The following is a 20,853-nucleotide window of genomic DNA, read 5'->3' as shown; positions in this document are numbered from 1 at the left end:
CCGGTGCTGGGACCCACTGCTAGGAGACAAGAGGACAGACAGGTCACATTACTGGATTCCTTGTAAACACTCTATGGCATCAGCCTGAAGTGTGGCAGCCCCACTGGGTGGCTAGACCCAGAGGAGTTTAAAGATATAGTAGTTTGGCCCTCAGGGACTGCTACTCTTAGGGGAAGGGGAAATGGGGAGGCTGTGCCACATTAAGAAAGCACCCCATGGGAGAAAATAAACAGACTGCAGGCCAAGCATTCCTGAACTTTCCACTTGTGGGAAGTTTCTTTCAGCAGAGACATAGTTGCACTGCTAGGCTCAGTGGGAAAAGTCTGCAGCTTTATCCCAACAGTCAGACAGCCCAGGCACTCATGAAGGGTCCTGAAGAAGTAGACTTCTTTTCCCTTCACACCCATCACTGCAGACACAGGTGGGGCTTCTCCACAGGAGTTCTATGTAGATGCATCTGTATACAGACTTTCTTCTTTTTTTTTTTTTTTCAGTCATCAGGTTTCATTTATTGGAGGTATATATATATATATATATATATATATATATATATATTTAAATTTTGAACATTAAATAATAAAAAAGAAAAGATTTGTTGCTCCCGAACCGACCCACATTTGTTTTAATTTTTTTTGAAATCTTAAAATTATTTATTATATATATATTATTATTATTATTATTATACTTTAAGTGTACAGACTTTCTGAAACACTCCAGGGTGACTACATCCCCACAGGAGGAGTGCCTTCCAGGTTGCAGGAGACAGTCACAATCTTTCTCTACTTGGAACATCAGCATTCCTGCATATGAAAAGAGGTGCCTGTCTGATCTGAATAGCCAGAACACTGAGTCAAGAGGATGATTGGGAGGCAGATTGCTTTCCCATTGACCTGTAAGTGCAGCCCTGGTGTCTCCCTCACTTCCCACTGAAAAGATATCAGCGCATTTCACTGAGTACTTTCCCAGACACCTCTGTCAAGGATGGGACTTCTCACTATTGGGGTATTACATTTACTCACCTGCTTTAGTCACAGCCAGTTTTTCCTTGTGGATTGCTCCTACTGGCCTGAAGCCTGAACTGTTCAACCAAGTGAAAAAAATACTGGGGATTTTTTTTTTAAGTGCAAACTACTGGGGGAACAAGATAAGCTTTATGGGACCTCTGCCATTCCAGCCCCAGAGGAGATGGAGAACTTGCTCACGCCTCTAGCACATCACTACTAGAAGCAGCACCTGAGAAAACCATCACACAAACATTCTCTGTTACCAAGGAACTCACACAGAATCTTTACCACTGAAAACACCCAGAGCCAAAGCTAGGTAACAATAAACTATAAACATTAAAGTCACATACTCAAAGGGGGAAAAATTACTTTATAAAAGCAAACCCAATGGAATAAAAAATAAATGCAAAAATAATTAGAAGAAATAGACTACCCAAGTGAGAAGAAACCAAAAAAATAATTCTGACAATATAAACAAAAACTGGGTTCTATAACATCTGAAAAAGATCATACTATCTCTCCAGCATTGGATCCAAGTGAAAACAAAATCTTTGAAAAACCAGATGAAGAATTTAAAAGGTTATTAAGTCACTCAAGGAGACACAAAGGAAAGTTAAAACCAACATAAAAAAATTATTGAAACAATTCAGGATATGAGTGAAAATTCTTCTAATGAAATGGATAATTTAAAGAAACAATAATCAGAACTTCTGAAAATAAAATACAATTTATTGAACTACAAAATGCAGTGGAAAGTTTTAACAATAGATTAGACCAAGTAGAAGGAATTTCAGAACTCAAAGAGAAAGCTTTTGAATTAATCCAATTGGACAAAAATAAATTAAAAAAAAAAAACAATTACATGAAATAAAGTCTCCAAAAAATATGGGATTATACAAAATGGCCAAACCTAAGAATCAAAGGTGTTCTTGAGGGAGAAGAAAAGGCAAAAAGTTTGGAAAAAATATTTGAGGGAATAATTGAGGGAAAATTTCTTGGTCTTGCTAGAGATACAGACATGCAAATACAAGAAGCTCAAAAAACTCATGGGAGATTAATTGCAAAAAGGACATCACCAAAGCACACATTCATCAGGCTATATAAAGTCAATGTGAAGGAAAAAAAATTCTAAAAGCAGTGAGACAAAAGCATCAGATAACTTATAAAGAAAAACTTATCAGTCTAAAAGCAGACTTCTAAGCAGAAACCTTATAAACCAGAACCAATTGGGGTCCTATCTTTAGCCTTCTTAAACAGAATAAGTGTCACCTGAGAATTTTGTATTCAGTAAAAATAATTTTCATATATGAAGAAGAAATAAAGTATTTTTCAGACAAGCAAATTGCTGAGGTTATCCATCAACACTAGATCAGCCCTACAATAAATGCTAAAAGGAGTTCTAAAGCTTGAAACGGAGGTTCAATATAGACCAGAATAGAACCTCTTGTAAATATAAAACTCACAGGGCCTATAAAACAATAACACAATAAAGAAAACAAAATATCTAGGTAAAAGTCAACATGAAGACTGGAATAGTACCTCACATCTCAATATTAACATTGAATGTAAATCATCTAAATGCTCCACTTAAAAGATACAGGTTGGCAAAATAGATAAGAAGTTACAAACCAAATATCTGCTATCTTCCAGAGAGTCATGTAACACAAAATAATTCTTATGGATTCAAGGTAAAGGGGTGGAAAAATATACCATATGTAAATGAAAACCAAAAGCATTCAGGAGTAGTTATTCTTATATCACATAAAACAGACTTTAGAACAACAATAGTAAAAGACAAAGAAGGTTATATAATGATAAAAGGAAAATTCCAACAAGAAGATATTACAATCCTAATTATATATGCACCTAACTCTGGAGCTCCTAGGTTCATAAAACAATTACTACCAGACCTAAGAAAAGAGATAGACAGTGACGCAGTAGTAATGGAGGACTTCAACACTCCACTGACAACAAGAGACAGATCATTGAAGCAGAAAGTCAATGAAGAAGGACTAAACTTAAACTGCACTCTAGAACAAGTGGACCTAACAAATATTTATAGAATATTTTCCCAAGAACTGCAGAAAATACATTATCACCACACATAACATTTTCCAAGATAGATGATATGATAGCCCAGAAAACAAGCCTCAATAAATTTTTATAAATCAAAATCATACCGAGCATCTTCTCAAATCACAGTGGAATAAAAGCAGAAATCAATTCCAACAGGAACTCTCAAAATTATACAAATGTATAAAATTTAAACAATATGCTTCTGAAAAATTTTTGGCTTAACAATGAAATCAAGATGGAAATTTAAAAATTATTTGAAATAAATGATAACAGTGACACAAGTTATCAAAACCTCTGGCATACAGCAAAAGCAGGGCTAAGAGGAAACTTTATAGCACTAAACACCTACATCAAAAAATCTGAATGATCACAAATTGACAACCTGACAAAACACATCAAGGAACTAGAGAAACAAGAACAAACCAAATTCAAAGCTAGTAAAAGAAAGGAAATGAAGATCAGAAAAGAACTAAATGAATTTGATTCCCCCCAAAAATTAATAAAATAAGAAGATTGTTCTTTGAAAAGATAAACAAAATTGGTAGACCATTAGCTATGTTAACCAAGAAAAGACAATAAAAGATTCAAATAAATTCAACTAGAAATGAAAATTGGGACATAACAACCAACAACATAATAATGCAAAGGATTATTTGACACTACCATGAACAACTCTATGCTCACAAACTAGAAAATCTAGAGGAACTGAATAAATTTCTGGTAACATATGCACACACACAGCTTGAATCAGGAAGAAACAAATTCTGAACAAACCAATAATAATCAGTGAGACTGAATTCATAATTAAAAAAAGAAAACTGCCAAGAACAAAAAAAAAAAAATCTCGGGGCTAGAGAGATTCCAGATTCACAGTTGAATTCTACAAAACATTCAAAGAATAGTTGGTATCAATTCCAGTAAAACTATTCCAAAAGATTGAGAAGAATCTTAAATATCCTCCCTAAGTTATTTTACAAAGCCATTATTACCCTGATACCAAAGCCAGGAAAGGGCATAAAAAATGAAAACTACAGACAAATATTCCTGATGAATTATAGATGCAAAAATCCTGAAAAAATACTACCAAACCTAATCCAACAGTATATCAAAAAGATAATTCTCCATGATAAATTGGGTTTCATCCCAGGGATGCAGGAATGTTTCAACATATCCAGGTAAATAAATATGATTCATCCCATAAACAGAATTAAAAACAAAAATCACATGATTATCTCAATAAATAAGAAAAAAACATTCAATAATATCTAGCATTTCTTTAGAATAAAAACTGTCAACAAACTAGCCATATAAGAAATATACCTCAAAATATTAAAAACCATATGACAAACCCACAGCCAACATCATACTCAATGGAGAAAAGTTGTAAACGTTCCCCCTAAGAATTGGAACAAGGTTGCCTATTTTCATCACTTCTATTCAACTTAATGCTAGAAGTTTTAGCCAGAGCAACCAGGTGAGAGAAAGAAATAAAGGGCATCCAAATAGGACAAAAAGTCAAACTACCTCTTTTTGCTGATAATATAATCTTATACCTAGAAGACATTAAAGACTCCTCCAAAAGGCTCCTTCATCTGATAAGTGAATTCAGTAAAGTCTGATTACAAAAGTAATGCACACAAATCAGTAGCACTGCTATACACCAACACTGACCAAGCTGATAATCAAATCAAGAACTCAATTCCTTTTACAATAGCAACTGAAAAAATAAAATACCCAGGAGTATCCTTAAACAAAGGAAGTGAAAAATCTCTATAAGGAGAGCTACAATATACTGCTGAAAGAAATAATAGATGACACAGATAAAATAAAAATGCATCCCATGCTTATTGATTGGAAGAGTGAATATTGTGAAAATGACCATACTGCCTAAAGCAATCTACAGATGCAATGCAGTCCCTATAAAAATTTTAACATCACTTTGATACAGAAATTCAGGGTAGAGAAGGGTGTGGTCCCTTTAAGTGATACGGAAGTGGGGAAGGGCATGGTCCCTGGATAGGGTTCCACCCCCATAGACTTAGATGAGGACAGGCATTTTTGTTTTCCTGCTCAAATGTAGCATTTCCCAAGACTACCCTCGCCTGTCAAGCCCCCATCCTGTGCCTATAAAAACACAGAGACCTTAGCAGTCAGACACACAGGTGGCTGGACGTCGAGAGGAACACATTAGAGGAGGAACACATAGCACATAGGTGGCTGGACGTCGAGAGGAATGCAGCAGTGTAGGAGCACACCAGCAGGCTGGCAGGCCATCAACCAGTGGAATGAGGCAGAGTTTGGCCCAGGCAGTTGGAGGAGAGCCCAGGCCACTGACTGGCCTGACTCTAGGAGAAAACCATCTCCTTTCTCACTTCCCCATCTGCTGAGAGCTATTTCCACTCAATAAAACCTTGTATTAATTCTCCAAGCCCACGTGTGATTCAATTCTTCTAGTACACCAAGGCAAGAACCCCGGGTTACAGAAAGTCCTTTGCCCTTGTGATAAGGTAGTGGGTCTAATTGAGTTCGTTAACACAAGCCACCTATAGACGGCAAAGCTAAAAGAGCACACGATAGCACACGCCCACTGGGGCTTCAGGAGCTGTAAACATCCATACCTAGACACTGTCATGAGGTTGGAGCCCCACAACCTGCCCATCTGTATGCTCCCCTAGAGATCTGAGCAGCAGAGCACTGAAGAAACGAGCCACTCCCCACGTCTCACACCCTGTGAGGGGGACAAGGGAACTCTTCCCATCTCAATTTCTCACAGAATTAGAAAAAATAATTTTAAAATTTATTCGAAACCAAAAAACAACCCAAAAAGCCAAGGAAATCCTAAGCAAAAAGAACGAAGCTATAGGTATCACATTACCTGACTTCAAATTGTACTACAAGGCTATAGCAACCAAAACAGCATGGTACTGCTATAAAACTAGTCTAATAGACCAATGAAATAGAATAGAGAACCCATAAATAAAGCCAAATACTTACAATCAAGTGATGGTCAACAAAGCATACAAAAACCTAAACTGGGGAAAAGACACACTATTCTATAAATGTGCTAGGAAAATTGGATAGTTACATGCAGAAGAATAACACTGGATTGCTTACCTTGTACAGAAATCAACTCAAAATGGATTTAAAAAATTTAGATCTAAAACCTGAAACCATAAAAATTATACAAGAAATCCTTGGAAAACTCTGCACATCAGTCTAGGCAAATATTATGACTAAGACCTCAAAAGCAAATGCAACAAAACCAAAAATAAATAAATGGGGTTTAATTAAACTAAAAATCTTCTGCTCAGCAAAAGAAATAATCAGCACAGTAAACAGATAACCTAAAAAACAGGAGAAATTATTTGCAAATTATTCATCTGACAGAAGACTAATATCCAGAATCTACAAGGAACTCGAACAAATCAGCAATAAAAAAACCAAGTAATTCTATTAAAAAGGGGGCAAATGACATGACTAGACATTTCTCAAAAGAAAATATACAAATGGCCAAGAAACATATGAAAAAATGTTCATCATCACTAATCATCAGGGAAATGAAAATTAAAATGAAAATGAGATACCACCTTAACCAAGCCATAATAGCCATTATTAAAAAGTCAAAAAACAATAGATGTTGGCATGGATGTGGTAAAAAGGGAATATTTGTATACTGCTAGTGGGAATGTAAATTAGTACAACCTCTAAGGAAAATCACATGGAAATTGCTCGAAGAATGAAAAGTCGATCTAACATTTGATCCAGCAATCCCACTACTGAGTATCTACCCAAAGGAAAAGAAATCACTATATCAAAAAGACACCTGTATGTGTATGTTTATCACAGCACAATTCACAATTGCAAAGATATGGAATCAACCTAAGGGCCCACTAACCAATTATTGGATAAATAACATGTGGTATATACATACCATGGAATACTACTCAACCATAAAAAAAGAATAATATATTTTGCCACAACTTGGATGGAACTGGAGGCCATTATTCTAAGTAAAGTAACTCAGTGATCAAAAAATAAATACAGGCCGGTTGCAGTGGCACATGCCTGAAATTCTAGCAGTTTGGAAAGCCGACATGGGCAGATCACTTAAGGTCAGGAGTTCGAAACCAGCCTGGCCAACATGGTGAAACCCTGTCTCTACTAAAAATATAAAAAAAAAAATAGCTGGTCATGGTGGCGAGCGCCTGTAATCCCAGCTACTAGGGAGGTTGAGGCAGGAGAATTGCTTAAACCCGGGAGATGGAGGTTGCCGTGAGCCAAGATCACGCCACTGCATTCCAGTCTGGGCAACAGAGTGTGACTCCATGACACACACACACACACACACACACACATAAAGTAAATACTGTGTGTTCACACTTATAAGTAGGATCTACACCACAGGTTTGCAAAAACATACAGAGTGGTATATTGGATATTAAAGACTCAGAAGGCAGAGTGTAGAAGGGGGTCAAGGAATTAAAAACTACTTATTGGGTACAATGTACAGTACTCGGGTGACAGGTGCACTAAAATCCCACACTTCACCTCTATACAAGTAATTCATGTAACCAAAAACCACTTGTACCCCTACAGTTACCAAAATAAAAAAATTAAAATAGTCATAGCAGCACTATTCACTATAACCAACAGGTAGAAGCAACTCAAATGTCAATCAACAGATGAATGAATAGACAAAATTGGTATAGTCATACAATAGAATATTATTCAGCCCTTTAAAGAAAGAAAGTTTGTCACATGTTACAACATGAATAAACTTTGAGGATGCTATGCAAGCAAAAAAGCCAGTAACAACAACAACAACAACAACAAATACTCTGTGACTCCACATATATAAAGTATTTGCCAGCCTAGGCAACATGGCAAAACCCAGTTTCTACAACAAAAACAAAAGTTAGCCAGTAGTGGTGGTATGCATCTGTAGTTTCAGCTATTCAAGAGGCTGAGGTGGAAGAACTGGGTGAGCCCAGGAGTTTGAGGCTGCAGTGTGCCGTGATTGTGCCACTGCACTGCAGCTTTGATGTTTGAACACAAACATTCAACCCATAGCACTGAGATAAAGAAGTCAGTTGAAATAGGCCACATAGTTCATGAATCTATTCATATGACATTCTGGAAAAGGGTGTGTGTGTGTGTTTGTGTGTGTGTGTGTGTGTGTGTGTTTAGAAGGAGAGAGAGAGAGATGCTAATGTTAAGGAATTAACTCACACTATTGTTAGACTGGTAAGTCTGAAATTTGCAGGACAGGTCAGCTGGATAAAAATTCCCACAGAAGTCAATGTTGCAGTCTTAAGTGTTGAAAACAGTCAATAGGTAAAATCCCTTCCTCTTCTGGGAACCTCAATCTTTTCTCCTACAACTTTTGATTGGATTAGGCCCACCTACATTATTGAGAGTAATCTGCTTTACTCAAAATCTACTGATTTATATTTTAGTCACATCTTAAAAACACCATCACAACCATATATATATATATATATATATATATATATATATATATATATATATATATATATATATATATATATATATATACTGGTGTTTGACCAAACAACTGGAAATTATAGCCTAGGAAGTTGATACATAAAATTTACTCCCATAGTGAGTAAACGGAGCAGTCATTTTGGAAGGAAGCTTGAAAAGAGAGGAAGGATTGTTATATAGGTGAATCATAGGGCAATTTTTAGGGTGATGAAACCACACACACACACACGTGATGACAGCAATATGAACTAAACTGTGCTTCTCCTCAAAAATCGTATGTTGAAACCCTATCTCCCGATATGACTGTATTTGGAGATAGGGCCTTTAAGGATGTAATTAAATTTAAATTAGATCATAAGGATAAGTCCCTAATCCGATAGTACTGACGTCTTCATAAAAAGCAGAAGAGACAACAGAGCTCTCCTTTTCTCCCTCTTTCTCCACAGATGCACAGAAGCAAAGCCATGTGAAGACACAGTGAGAAGGTGGCCATCTACAGGTCAGGAAGAAGCCCTACCAGAAACCAACCCTGATGGCATCTTTATTTTGGACTTTTAGCCTCCAGAGATCTGAGAAAATAAGTTTCTGTTATTTAAGCTACTCAGTCTATGGTATTTTGTTATGGCAGATCAAGAAGACTAATATGGATGGATATATGACACTATGCTTTTGTCAAAACCCATAGAGTTTTATCAAGTAGAAAGATTACACTTTAGTATTTACAAATTTAAAATATTATAAAATGCATGTAATAATACACATAAGGGGGTAGAGAAGTTATTACTGACCTAATTACCTTTGAAGATGAGTGGAGCCTGCAAGACTAAAGGCAAATGGAAATATACATAAGCACTGTACTGCAGTTGATGAAGTTGTCTCCTCATAGTTTCAGGTTTGCAAAATCACTATACATGTATATTGAAATTGAACAATTAATAAATGGATGGGCAGGTGTTAGGAGCCAGGTTTCTCACTGTTTGAATTGGAGGTTACAAGCTATATTATTCTAGCCTTCTCTTTTAAGCCAAAGGAGAAGGTTAGAATAATGCATGTGATTATTTGATTTGAAGATATCAATATAAAGTCATATTTAGCTTTAAATAAGTACAGATGGTTGCATAAAGAAATGTGTGTTTGTGTGTGTGTGTGTGTGTGTGTGTGTAACACACATATATATCCTTGCTCTATCAGCAGAGAGGACCTAGAACAAATGATGCTCCAGTAGTGATGAGCACACTAGTGGCCAAATTTTGTTTCTAACACAATTATATAATAAAAGAAACCAGGGATCCTTGGAAAAACTGATGATTCCAGAACTAGGGCATAGAATATACAAGATGAGACTGGAGCATCTTGTAAGTGTCAGAAAGTAAGAAATTACTAAAAATTAAAAAAAGCAAGTAAATAAATCTGATCATAAGATGTTAAAATCTAGTCTATATTTTTAAGCATTTGCAAATATTAAAAAAAGAAATTACTAAAAGTAATCATTTAAACTCATTATAATTATATTTCTGTCAATTCATAGTTTAATTCATTTTGAACAATTTGCTTTATAATTATCAGGCCAAATAAAATGACCTTCTAAAACATCACATAAAGATCTTGAAAAGGTCTGCCCAGAACATCCTTGATGTTTATGACTCTAATGACAGGAGGCCCACTCTGGTCTGCTGCAAATACTTCTCAGTTTGTTTTTCTGAAAAGTTGGTGTCACTGGGCCAAAGCTTGCCCAAGTAGGTAAATGCTCCTACCACTATACAATACCTAGTATATATTTTTTTTCTGCTAGAGAATAAATGGATCTCAAATCCCTTACTGAGCCCATCTCTGAAGTATCCCAAGAATTGAAATGCATTTGTACAAAGCTCACCACTTCACATCCTTAACACTGGCAGAAGGAATCATTTAAATGCATAAGAATGATGCTTGGATTCTTACTGGGCTAACACCTTTCTCTGCTGAAAAGACAAAAAAAAATCAAAAGTAATTGTTCTCACAATATAAGTTAAGAAGTGGTTAACTGAGGGGGAAAAGGGGTTTAATACACTGAGACTGGCATTCTCAGTAGTTACAACTGTGAATGCCAGGTATCATTAGAGCTTAGCAAATAATTACAACAGATTGTGCAAGATTAAAATAAAATTACTGTTTGGAAGGGGGTAAGATCTGGTAAAGGGACAGGTGCTGGCCTGGAGGGACAACTGTTCAAGATTCATTGCGAAGGTCATAATCAATTTTTCAAGACACACTGGGATGGTCCCATGTGAGTTAGGGTGGGAGAAGAGGTGATATATACAGCTAGGAAAATGGGGCCGTTTTGTTTATGTGTTACAGTTAAATAAGTGTGGTCAGAGAAATCTAACCTTTTCTTCATAGTTAAAACTAGAGACGTTTGCAAAGCACAGCTCCAGAATGCTCCCATCTTTGTGGCCCTGTGACTTCCAGACATTAGGGCACCCATCCCAACATAAAGCTGTGGCATCAGAGATCTATATAGCGCCTACACTGTGTGTAAATAAAAACTACTTGGATACTATCTTGGGTAGTCGGTCATATAAGCTTCATGGTGAACTATAAACATATGATGAAGCTCCACCGAAGTGTAACGACTGTCTACACATTCCACAAATAGGGCTTCTGAATTGGCTGCAAAATTACCACATACAGCCCAGTAATTGAAGATCAAGTCAGTTTTTATCTAGGCAATTCTACCAAGTATCAAGCACGGTGAGGACCTGCTCTTATTTCCCAGTGCAACAAACCAAAGATAGTGAACTCAATATGATATGATAGGGTGATGATAAGGATGGTTGGGGCGACCTCTCCCCTTTCTTCAAGATCACCGTAACTATGTCTCCTAACAGTAATATGTGCTTTATAAGTGAAATGCTAGCCCAGTGACCAAAACCATAGGTGTAGAATATTCTTGTGCTTTCTTCCAGATTGAATTTGTACCACAGCTTCACATAATACCATTGAAACAGGGAAAGCTCCCTTAATCTCATTTCAGGGCATTCAATGGGGGTGAGTCTTACTTCTTTGGTGCCCTAGTGCTCGGTATACCCTTAGGGGGAGCATGCCTATGGGCAGGTCATGGGGATCGCCAATCCCATGGCAGCATCTAGGGTGGGTGTGTATTACAGTGGACTCTTTCAGTTTTTCTGTCTGCAGGTGGCTTGTGTTTATCAGCTCAATTAGACTGTCTGCCTTATCACAAGGACAGAAGGATTTCTGTATCCCAGGTTCTTGTCTTAGTGTACCAGAAAAATCGGATCCCACATGGGCTTGGAGAAGGAGTGTATGGTTTTATTGATTGAAGGTAGCTCTCAGCAGAAGGATGGAAAGCCAGAGGGGGGATGGAGTGGGAAGGTGGTGTTTCTCTGGGGTCAGGCCGCTCAGAGGCTGTACTCTCCTCCGACCACCCCCAGCTGAATTCCACATCATCCCATTGCTGATGGCCTGTCGGTGGTTGCTGATGCCTGTTGGTGTGCTCTTCCATTACTCTGCTCCTCTCAACAACCAGCCACCTGTGTGTTCTTCCATTTTTGTGTTCCTCTCAACATCCAGCCATTTGTGTCTGCCAGAGTCTTGGGATTTTTTATAGGCACAGGATGGGGGGCATGGCAGGCCAAGGTGGTCTTGGAAAAAGCAACATTTGGGTGTGAAAACAGGAGTGTCTGTCCTCACTTAGGTCTGCAGGCACAGGCCCAAAGGTGGAGTTCTTGCCAGGGACCCCACATTTTTCTACCCAGCCCTTCTCTGTGCCCCTCCCATATTACCATTATACATGCTCAGCTTGAAGAACTTAATATGAATTTCTTTTTTTTCTTTTTTTATTTATATATTTATTATTACTATACTTTTAAGTTTTAGGGTACATGTGCACATTCTGCAGGTTAGTTACATATGTATACATGTGCCATGCTGGTGCGCTGCACCCACTAACTCATCATCTAGCATTAGGTATATCTCCCAATGCTATCCCTCCACCCTCCCCCAACCCCACAACAGTCCCCAGAGTGTGATATTCCCCTTCCTGTGTCCATGTGATCTCATTGTTCAATTCCCATCTATGAGTGAGAATATGCGGTGTTTGGTTTTTTGTTCTTGCGATAGTTTACTGAGAATGATGATTTCCAATTTCATCCATGTACCTACAAAGGACATGAACTCATCCTTTTTTATGGCTGCATAGTATTCCATGGTGTATATGTGCCACATTTTCTTGATCCAGTCTATCATTGTTGGACATTTGGGTTGGTTCCAAGTCTTTGCTATCGTGAATAATGCCGCAGTAAACATACATGTGCGTGTGTCTTTATAGCAGCATGATTTATAGTCCTTTGGGTATATACCCAGTAATGGGATGGCTGGATCAAATGGTATTTCCAGTTCTAGATCCATGAGGAATCGCCACACTGACTTCCACAATGGTTGAACTAGTTTAGAGTCCCACCAACAGTGAAAAAGTGTTCCTATTTCTCCACATCCTCATAGTATGGCCAAAGAAAATGCTATGCCCAATTATTTTATTTCCATTTTATCTACACATTTCAGAATCAATCACATACACAGAGTAGATCCGTATGGCTATTATGCTTATGATAACGAAGGTCCAACCTGAATTTGGGAATGGTGTTAATTCCACCAAAATGGTATGAGTACTATAAAACAAAAAAATGATTAAAATGGAAACTAGTGAGGTAATCTATAATGTCCACAACAATTTCAGCTTATTATTTTGAAAGTCAACCTAAGAGTTGTTATTATTTTTACAAAATGTGTGTTTATTTAATACATTCCCAGAAATGCCACTGCAAAATGCATATTTGCTCATATTTCTTTGACTAGGGTATATCAATGTACCTCTTTCAAACTTGTTTATTTCTAAATTATTTCAAATTGTTCGTGCATTTGAATCATTTCCTGTGGCATATTCTGTTTGGGGTCCATTTATGAAAGCCTTTTACAGGGAATTGGACCAGCCTCCTTTACACTTATCATTTCATATTCACAATTTTAAATGGTCTCATCCCATAATGGTGACTACCAGGGCTATACTAGCACATTAAATGTCCCTCACATCAAAGTTCGTATTGTACTTATAAACCCACAGAGATCTTCTCTACTAAAACAGCTTTATGAATGCATTTTGTTGAGGGTCACTGTCTCCACCTGGAATCTGGAGTCCTAATCTATGTACCTTTTTTGGGAATTAAGGTGATGCAGAAAGAATTTTATAATAGGCCCATTGGGCACCTACAGGAAGGACTTTAATGTTGTCTTACAAAGTTTATCTCCTCATACCATGACATCTAGAAACTATGCAGTACCCACAGTATGTCCCTAAAACACTGATCACTGAGGGACTATTTTTCCCAACTGTTTTTACTGATCCAACCTTGTGCCTTCTCCAAATCCTAAAGATTTTAAAGTCAGGTATATTGTTCAGATTCTGTTTTCTTCTGGCCTTATTTAGCCTTAAATTGACAATCACATCTTGCCATTACCGTCCTTTGAGCCCCTATTGCCTACAAGTTTCAGGCTCAGATAGTTATTATACCTAATATTTACCAGGAAATCATCAGAATTCCACAGCATTTGTTTTGTTTTCCATTTGTTAATTTGACCATACATCGGTTAAGAAATTCATATTAAGGGAGGAGCCAAGATGGCCGAATAGAAACAGCTCTGGTCTACAGCTCCCAGCGTGAGCAACGCAGAAGACGGGTGATTTCTGCATTTCCATCTGAGGTACCGGGTTCATCTCACTAGGTAGTGCCAGACAGTGGGCGCAGGTCAGTGGGTGCACGCATCGTGTGCGAGCCGAAGCAGGGCGAGGCATTGCCTCACTTGAGAAGTGCAAGGGGTCAGGGAGTTCCCTTTCCAAGTCAAAGAAAGGGGTGATGGACAGCACCTGGAAAATCGGGTCACTCCCACCTGAATACTGTGCTTTTCTGACGGGCTTAAAAAACGGCGCACCACGAGATTATATCTCGCACCTGGCTCAGAGGGTCCTACGCCCACGGAGTCTCCCTGATTGCTAGCACAGCAGTCTGAGATCAAACTGCAAGGCGGCAGCGAGGCTGGGGGAGGGGCGCCCTCCATTGCCCAGGCTTGATTAGGTAAACAAAGCAGCCAGGAAGCTCGAACTGGGTGGAGCCCACCACAGCTCAAGGAGGCCTGCCTGCTTCTGTAGGCTCCACCTCTGGGGGCAGGGCACAGACAAAAAAAAAGACAGCAGTAACTTCTGCAGACTTAAATGTCCCTGTCTGACAGCTTTGAAGAGAGCAGTGGTTCTCCCAGCACGCAGCTGGAGATCTGAGAACGGGCAGACTGCCTCCTCAAGTGGGTCCCTGACCCCTGACCCCCAAGCAGCATAACTGGGAGTCACCCCCCAGCAGGGGCACACTGACACCTCACAGGGCAGGGTATTCCAACAGACCTGCAGCTGAGGGTCCTGTCTGTTAGAAGGAAAACTAACAAACAGAAAGGACATCCACACCAAAAACCCATCTGTACATCACCATCATCAAAGACCAAAAGTAGATAAAACCACAAAGATGGGGAAAAAGCAGAACAGAAAAACTGGAAACTCTAAAAAGCAGAGCGCCTCTCCTCCTCCAAAGGAACGCAGTTCGTTACCAGCAAGGGAACAAAGCTGGATGGAGATTGACTTTGACAAGCTGAGAGAAGAAGGCTTCAGACAATCAAATTACTCTGAGCTACGGGAGGACATTCAAACCAAATGCAAAGTAGTTGAAAACTTTGAAAAAAATTTAGAAGAATGTATAACTAGAATAACCAATACAGACAAGTGCTTAAAGGAGCTGATGGAGCTGAAAACCAAGGCTCAAGAACTACGTGAAGAATGCAGAAGCCTCAGGAGCCGATGCGATCAACTGGAAGAAAGGGTATCAGCAATGGAGGATGAAATGAATGAAATGAAGTGAGAAGGGAAGTTTAGAGAAAAAAGAATAAAAAGAAATGAGCAAAGCCTCCAAGAAATACGGGACTATGTGAAAAGACCAAATCTACGTCTGATTGGTGTACCTGAAAGTGATGGGGAGAATGGAACCAAGTTGGAAAACACGCTGCAGGATATTATCCAGGAGAACTTCCCCAATCTAGCAAGACAGGCCAACATTCAGATACAGGAAATACAGAGAACGCCACAAAGATACTCCTCGAGAAGAGCAACTCCAAGAAACATAATTGTCAGATTCACCAAAGTTGAAATGAAGGAAAAAATGTTAAGGGCAGCCAGAGAGAAAGGTTGGGTTACCCTCAAAGGGAAGCCCATCAGACTAACAGCGGATCTCTCGGCAGAAACCCTACAAACCAGAAGAGATTGGGGGCCAATATTCAACATTCTTAAAGAAAAGAATTTTCAACCCAGAATTTCATATCCAGCCAAACTAAGCTTCATAAGCAAAGGAGAAATAAAATATTTTACAGACAAGCAAATGCTGAGAGATTTTGTCACCACCAGGCCTACCCTAAAAGAGCTCCTGAAGGAAGCACTAAATATGGAAAGGAACAACCGGTACCAGCCACTGCAAAATCATGCCAAAATGTAAAGACCATCAAGACTAGGAAGAAACTGCATCAACTAATGAGCAAAATAACCAGCTAACATCATAATGACAGGATCAAATTCACACGTAACAATATTAACTTTAAATGTAAATGGACTAAATGCTCCATTTAAAAGACACAGACTGGCAAATTGGATAAAGAGTCAAGACCCATCAGTGTGCTGTATTCAGGAGACCCATCTCACGTGCAGAGACACACATAGGCTCAAAATAAAGGGATGGGGGAAGATCTACCAAGCAAATGGAAAACTAAAAAAGGCAGGGGTTGCAATCCTAGTTTCTGATAAGACAGACTTTCAACCAACAAAGATCAAAGGAGACAAAGAAGGCCATTACATAACGGTAAAGGGATCAATTCAACAAGAAGAGCTAGCTCTCCTAAATACATATGCACCCAATACAGGCACACCCAGATTCATAAGGCAAGTCCTTAGTGACCTACAAAGAGACTTAGACTCCCACACAATAATAATGGGAGACTTTAACACCCCACTGTCGACATTAGACAGATCAACAAGACAGAAAGTTAACAAGGATATCCAGGAGCCGAACTCAGCTCTGCACCAAGCGGACCTAATAGACATCTACAGAACTCTCCACCCCAAATCAACAGAATATACATTCTTTTCAGCACCACATCACACTTATTCCAAAATTGACCACATAGTTGGAAGCAAAGCACTCCTCAGCAAATGTAAAAGAACAGAAATTATAACAAACTGTCTCTGAAACCACAGTGCAATCAAACTAGAACTCAGGATTAAGAAACTCTCTCAAAACTGCTCAACCTCATGGAAACCGGACAACCTGCTCCTAAATGACTACTGGGTACATAACAAAATGAAGGCAGAAATAAAGATGTTCTTTGAAACAAACAAGAACAAAGACACAACATACCAGAATCTCTGGGACACATTCAAAGCAGTGTGTAGAGGGAAATTTATAGCACTAAATGCCCACAACAGAAAGCAGGAAAGATCTAAAATTGACACCCTAACATCACAATTAAAAGAACTACAGAAGCAAGAGCAAACACATTCAAAAGCTAGCAGAAGGCAAGAAATAACTAAGATCAGAGCAGAACTGAAGGAAATAAAGACACAAAAAACCCTTCAAAAAATCAATCAATCCAGGAGCTGGTTTTTTGAAAAGATCAACAAAATTGAAAGACCATTAGCAAGACTATTAAAGAAAAGAGAGAAGCAAGACTATTAAAGGAGAGAAGAATCAAATAGATGCAATAAAAAAGGACAAAGGGGATATCACTACCGATCCCACAGAAATACAAACTACTATCAGAGAATACTATAAACACCTCTAGGCAAATAAACTAGAAAATCTAGAAGAAATGGATAAATTCCTCAACACATACACCCTCCCAAGACTAAACCAGGAAGAAGTTGAATCTCTGCATAGAACAATAACAGGATCTGAAATTGAGGCAATAATTAATAGCTTACAAACCAAAAAATGTCCAGGAACAGACAGATTCACAGCCAAATTCTACCAGAGGTTCAAGGAGGAGCTGATACCATTCCTTTTGAAACAATTCCAATCAATAGAAAAAGAGGCAATCCTCCCTAACTCATTTTATGAGGCCAGCATCATCCTGATACCAAAGCCTGGCAGAGATACAACAACAAAAAAGATAATTTTAGAACAATATCCCTAATGAACATTGATGCAAAAATCCTCAATAAAATACTGGCAAACCGAAGCCAACAGCACATCAAAAGGCTTATCCACCATGATCAAGTGGGCTTCATCCCTGGGATTCAAGGGTGGTTCAACATACAAAAATCAATAAACGTAATCCAGCATATAAACAGCACCAACGACAAAAACCACATGATTATCTCAATAGATGCAGAAAAGGCCTTTGACAAAATTCAGCAATGCTTCATGCTAAAAATTCTCAATAAATTTGGTATTGATGGGACGTATCTCAAAATAATAAGAGCTATCTATGACAAACCCACAGTCAATATCATACTGCATGGGCAAAAACTGGAAGCATTCCCTTTGAAAACTGGAACAAGACAGGGATGCCCTCTCTCACCACTCCTATTCAACTAGTGTTGGAAGTTCTGGCCAGAACAATGAGGCAGGAGAAGGAAATAAAGGGCATTCATTTAGGAAAAGAGGAAGTCAAATTGTCCCTGTTTGCAGATCACATCATTGTATATCTAGAAAATCCCATTGTCTCAGCCCAAAATCTCCTTAAACTGATAAGCAACTTCAGCAAAGTCTCAGGATACAAAATCAATGTACAAAAATCACAAGCATTTTTATACACCAACAACAGACAAACAGAGCCAAATCATGAGTGAACTCCCATTCACAATTGCTTCAAAGAGAATAAAATACCTAGGAATCCAACTTACAAGGGATGTGAAGGACCTCTTCAAGGAGAACTACAAACCACTGCTCAATGAAATAAAAGAGGATACAAACAAATGGAAGAACATTCCATGCTCATGGGTAGGAAGAATCAATATCATGAAAATGGCCATAATGCCCAAGGTAATTTATAGATTCAATGCCATCCCCATCAAGCTACCAATGACTTTCTTCATAGAATTGGAAAAAACTACTTTAAAGTTCATATGGAACCAAAAAACAGCCCGCATAGCCAAGTCAATCCTAAGCCAAAAGAACAAAGCTGGAGGCATCATGCTACCTGACTTCAAACTATACTACAAGGCTACAGTAACCAAAACAGCATGGTACTGGTACCAAAACAGAGATATAGACAAATGGAACAGAACAGAGCCCTCAGAAATAATGCCACACATCTACAACTATCTGATCTTTGACAAACCTGACAAAAACAAGAAATGGGGAATGGATTCTCTATTTAATAAATGGTACTGTGAAAACTGGCTAGCCATATGTAGAAAGCTGAAACTGGATCCCTTACACCTTATACGAAAATTAATTCAAGATGGATTAAAGACTTACATGTTAGACCTAAAACCATAAAAATCCTAGAAGAAAACCTAGGCAATACCATTCAGGACATGGCATGGGCAAAGACTTCATGTCTAAAACGCCAAAAGCAATGGCAACAAAAGCCAAAATTGACAAATGGGATCTAATTAAACTAAAGAGCTTCTGCACAGCAAAAGAAACCACCATCAGAGTGAATAGGCAACCTGCAGAATGGGAGAAAATTTTTGCAATCTACTCATCTGACAAAGGGCTAATATCCAGAATCTACAATGAACTCAAACAAATTTACAAGAAAAAAACAACCCCATCAAAAAGTGGGCAAAGGATATGAACAGACACTTCTCAAAAGAAGACATTTATGCAGCCAACAGACACATTAAAAAGTGCTCATCATGACTGGCCACCAGAGAAATGCAAATCAAAACCACAGTGAGATACCATCTCACACCAGTTAGAATGGTGATCATTAAAAAGTCAGGAAACAACAGGTGCTGGAGAGGATGTGGACAAATAGGAACACTTTTACACTGTTGGTGGGATTGTAAACTAGTCCAACCATTGTGGAAGTCAGTGTGGCGATTCCTCAGGGATCTCGAACTAGAAATACCATTTGACACAGCCACCCATTACTGGGTATATACCCAAAGGATTATAAATCATGCTTCTATAAAGACACATGCACACGTATGTTAATTGTGGCACTATTCACAATAGCGAAGACTTGGAACCAACCCAAATGTCCAACAATGATAGACTGGATTAAGAAAATGTGGCACATATACGCCATGGAATACTATGCAGCCATAAAAAATGATGAGTTCATGTCCTTTGTAGGGACATGGATGAAGCTGGAAACCATCATTCTCAGCAAACTATCGCAGGGACAGAAAACCAAAGACCGCATGTTCTCACTCATTGGTGCGAATTGAGCAATGAGAACACTTGGACACAGGAAGGGGAAGATCACACACCGGGGCCTGTTGTGGGGTGGGAGAGAGGGGAAGGATAGCATTAGGAGATATACCTAATGTTAAATGATGAGTTAATGGGTGCAGCACACCAACATGGCACTTGTATAAATATGTAACAAACCTGCACATTGTGCACATGTACCCTAAAACTTAAAGTATAATATAAAAAAGAAAGAAAGAAGTTCAAGAGAAAAAATAAAAAATAAAAAATAAAAATTAAACTGAGCAAATTGGCTTAGTAGAATCCTCCAGCAATTATCCTCCTACCCCCTGCGGAACACCAAAATAAACAAGTATTCATGCAAAAAATACCTTTGTAAGAACCAAAACGTCAGGTGATTGATCACAGTACTTGGTTTTAACATAAATATAAGAAAAAATGCATTCAAGAGGATAGAAAGGACAGTCTCACATTGTCTACATGACCCCTCTCCCAATCTAAAACAGGGCAGCCAGAAGAATCTGTGTGTTGGGAGAGAAAGAGTGCAGTCAGTGTGGAGATTGCATGGGAACCCAGTGCCACCTTGTCACAGTGGAATGCAACACCAGGCAGACTTCTACTGGTGCCCATGGAGGGAGCATTTAGACCAGCCCTGGACCAGAAGGGAATCTGATACTCCAGTAGGAGAAACCCAGGTCCTGGCCCAATTTGCCATTGCCTGACTAAAGTAGCTCAGGGCCTCGAAAATTTGAGTGGTAACCAGGCCATCATGACTACAGTCATTGGGTGCATTCTGCTGGTCT

The 20,853-nt window shown here is 38.6% G+C and overlaps 1 protein-coding gene across 1 annotated transcript in view, besides 1 other annotated feature; it reads right to left on the bottom strand.

Moving 5' to 3' along the window:
• FAAH2 (fatty acid amide hydrolase 2) overlaps positions 1-20,853 on the bottom strand; it is a 367,606-nt gene that overhangs the window by 311,064 nt on the left and 35,689 nt on the right. The window lies entirely within an intron of this gene.
• Positions 576-1,154: an enhancer, noted in NCBI's record as "OCT4-NANOG hESC enhancer chrX:57203412-57203990 (GRCh37/hg19 assembly coordinates)". NCBI's record gives its function as "activates a minimal SCP1, AML or CMV promoter by ChIP-STARR-seq in primed H9 embryonic stem cells {active_cell/tissue: H9 hESC(primed)}" and the evidence as "EXISTENCE:reporter gene assay evidence [ECO:0000049][PMID:30033119]".

The sequence above is a fragment of the Homo sapiens genome, chromosome X (genome assembly GCF_000001405.40).
Source record: "Homo sapiens chromosome X, GRCh38.p14 Primary Assembly".
NCBI lineage: Eukaryota > Metazoa > Chordata > Mammalia > Primates > Hominidae > Homo > Homo sapiens.
This window is presented reverse-complemented; position numbering and strand designations above follow the sequence as displayed.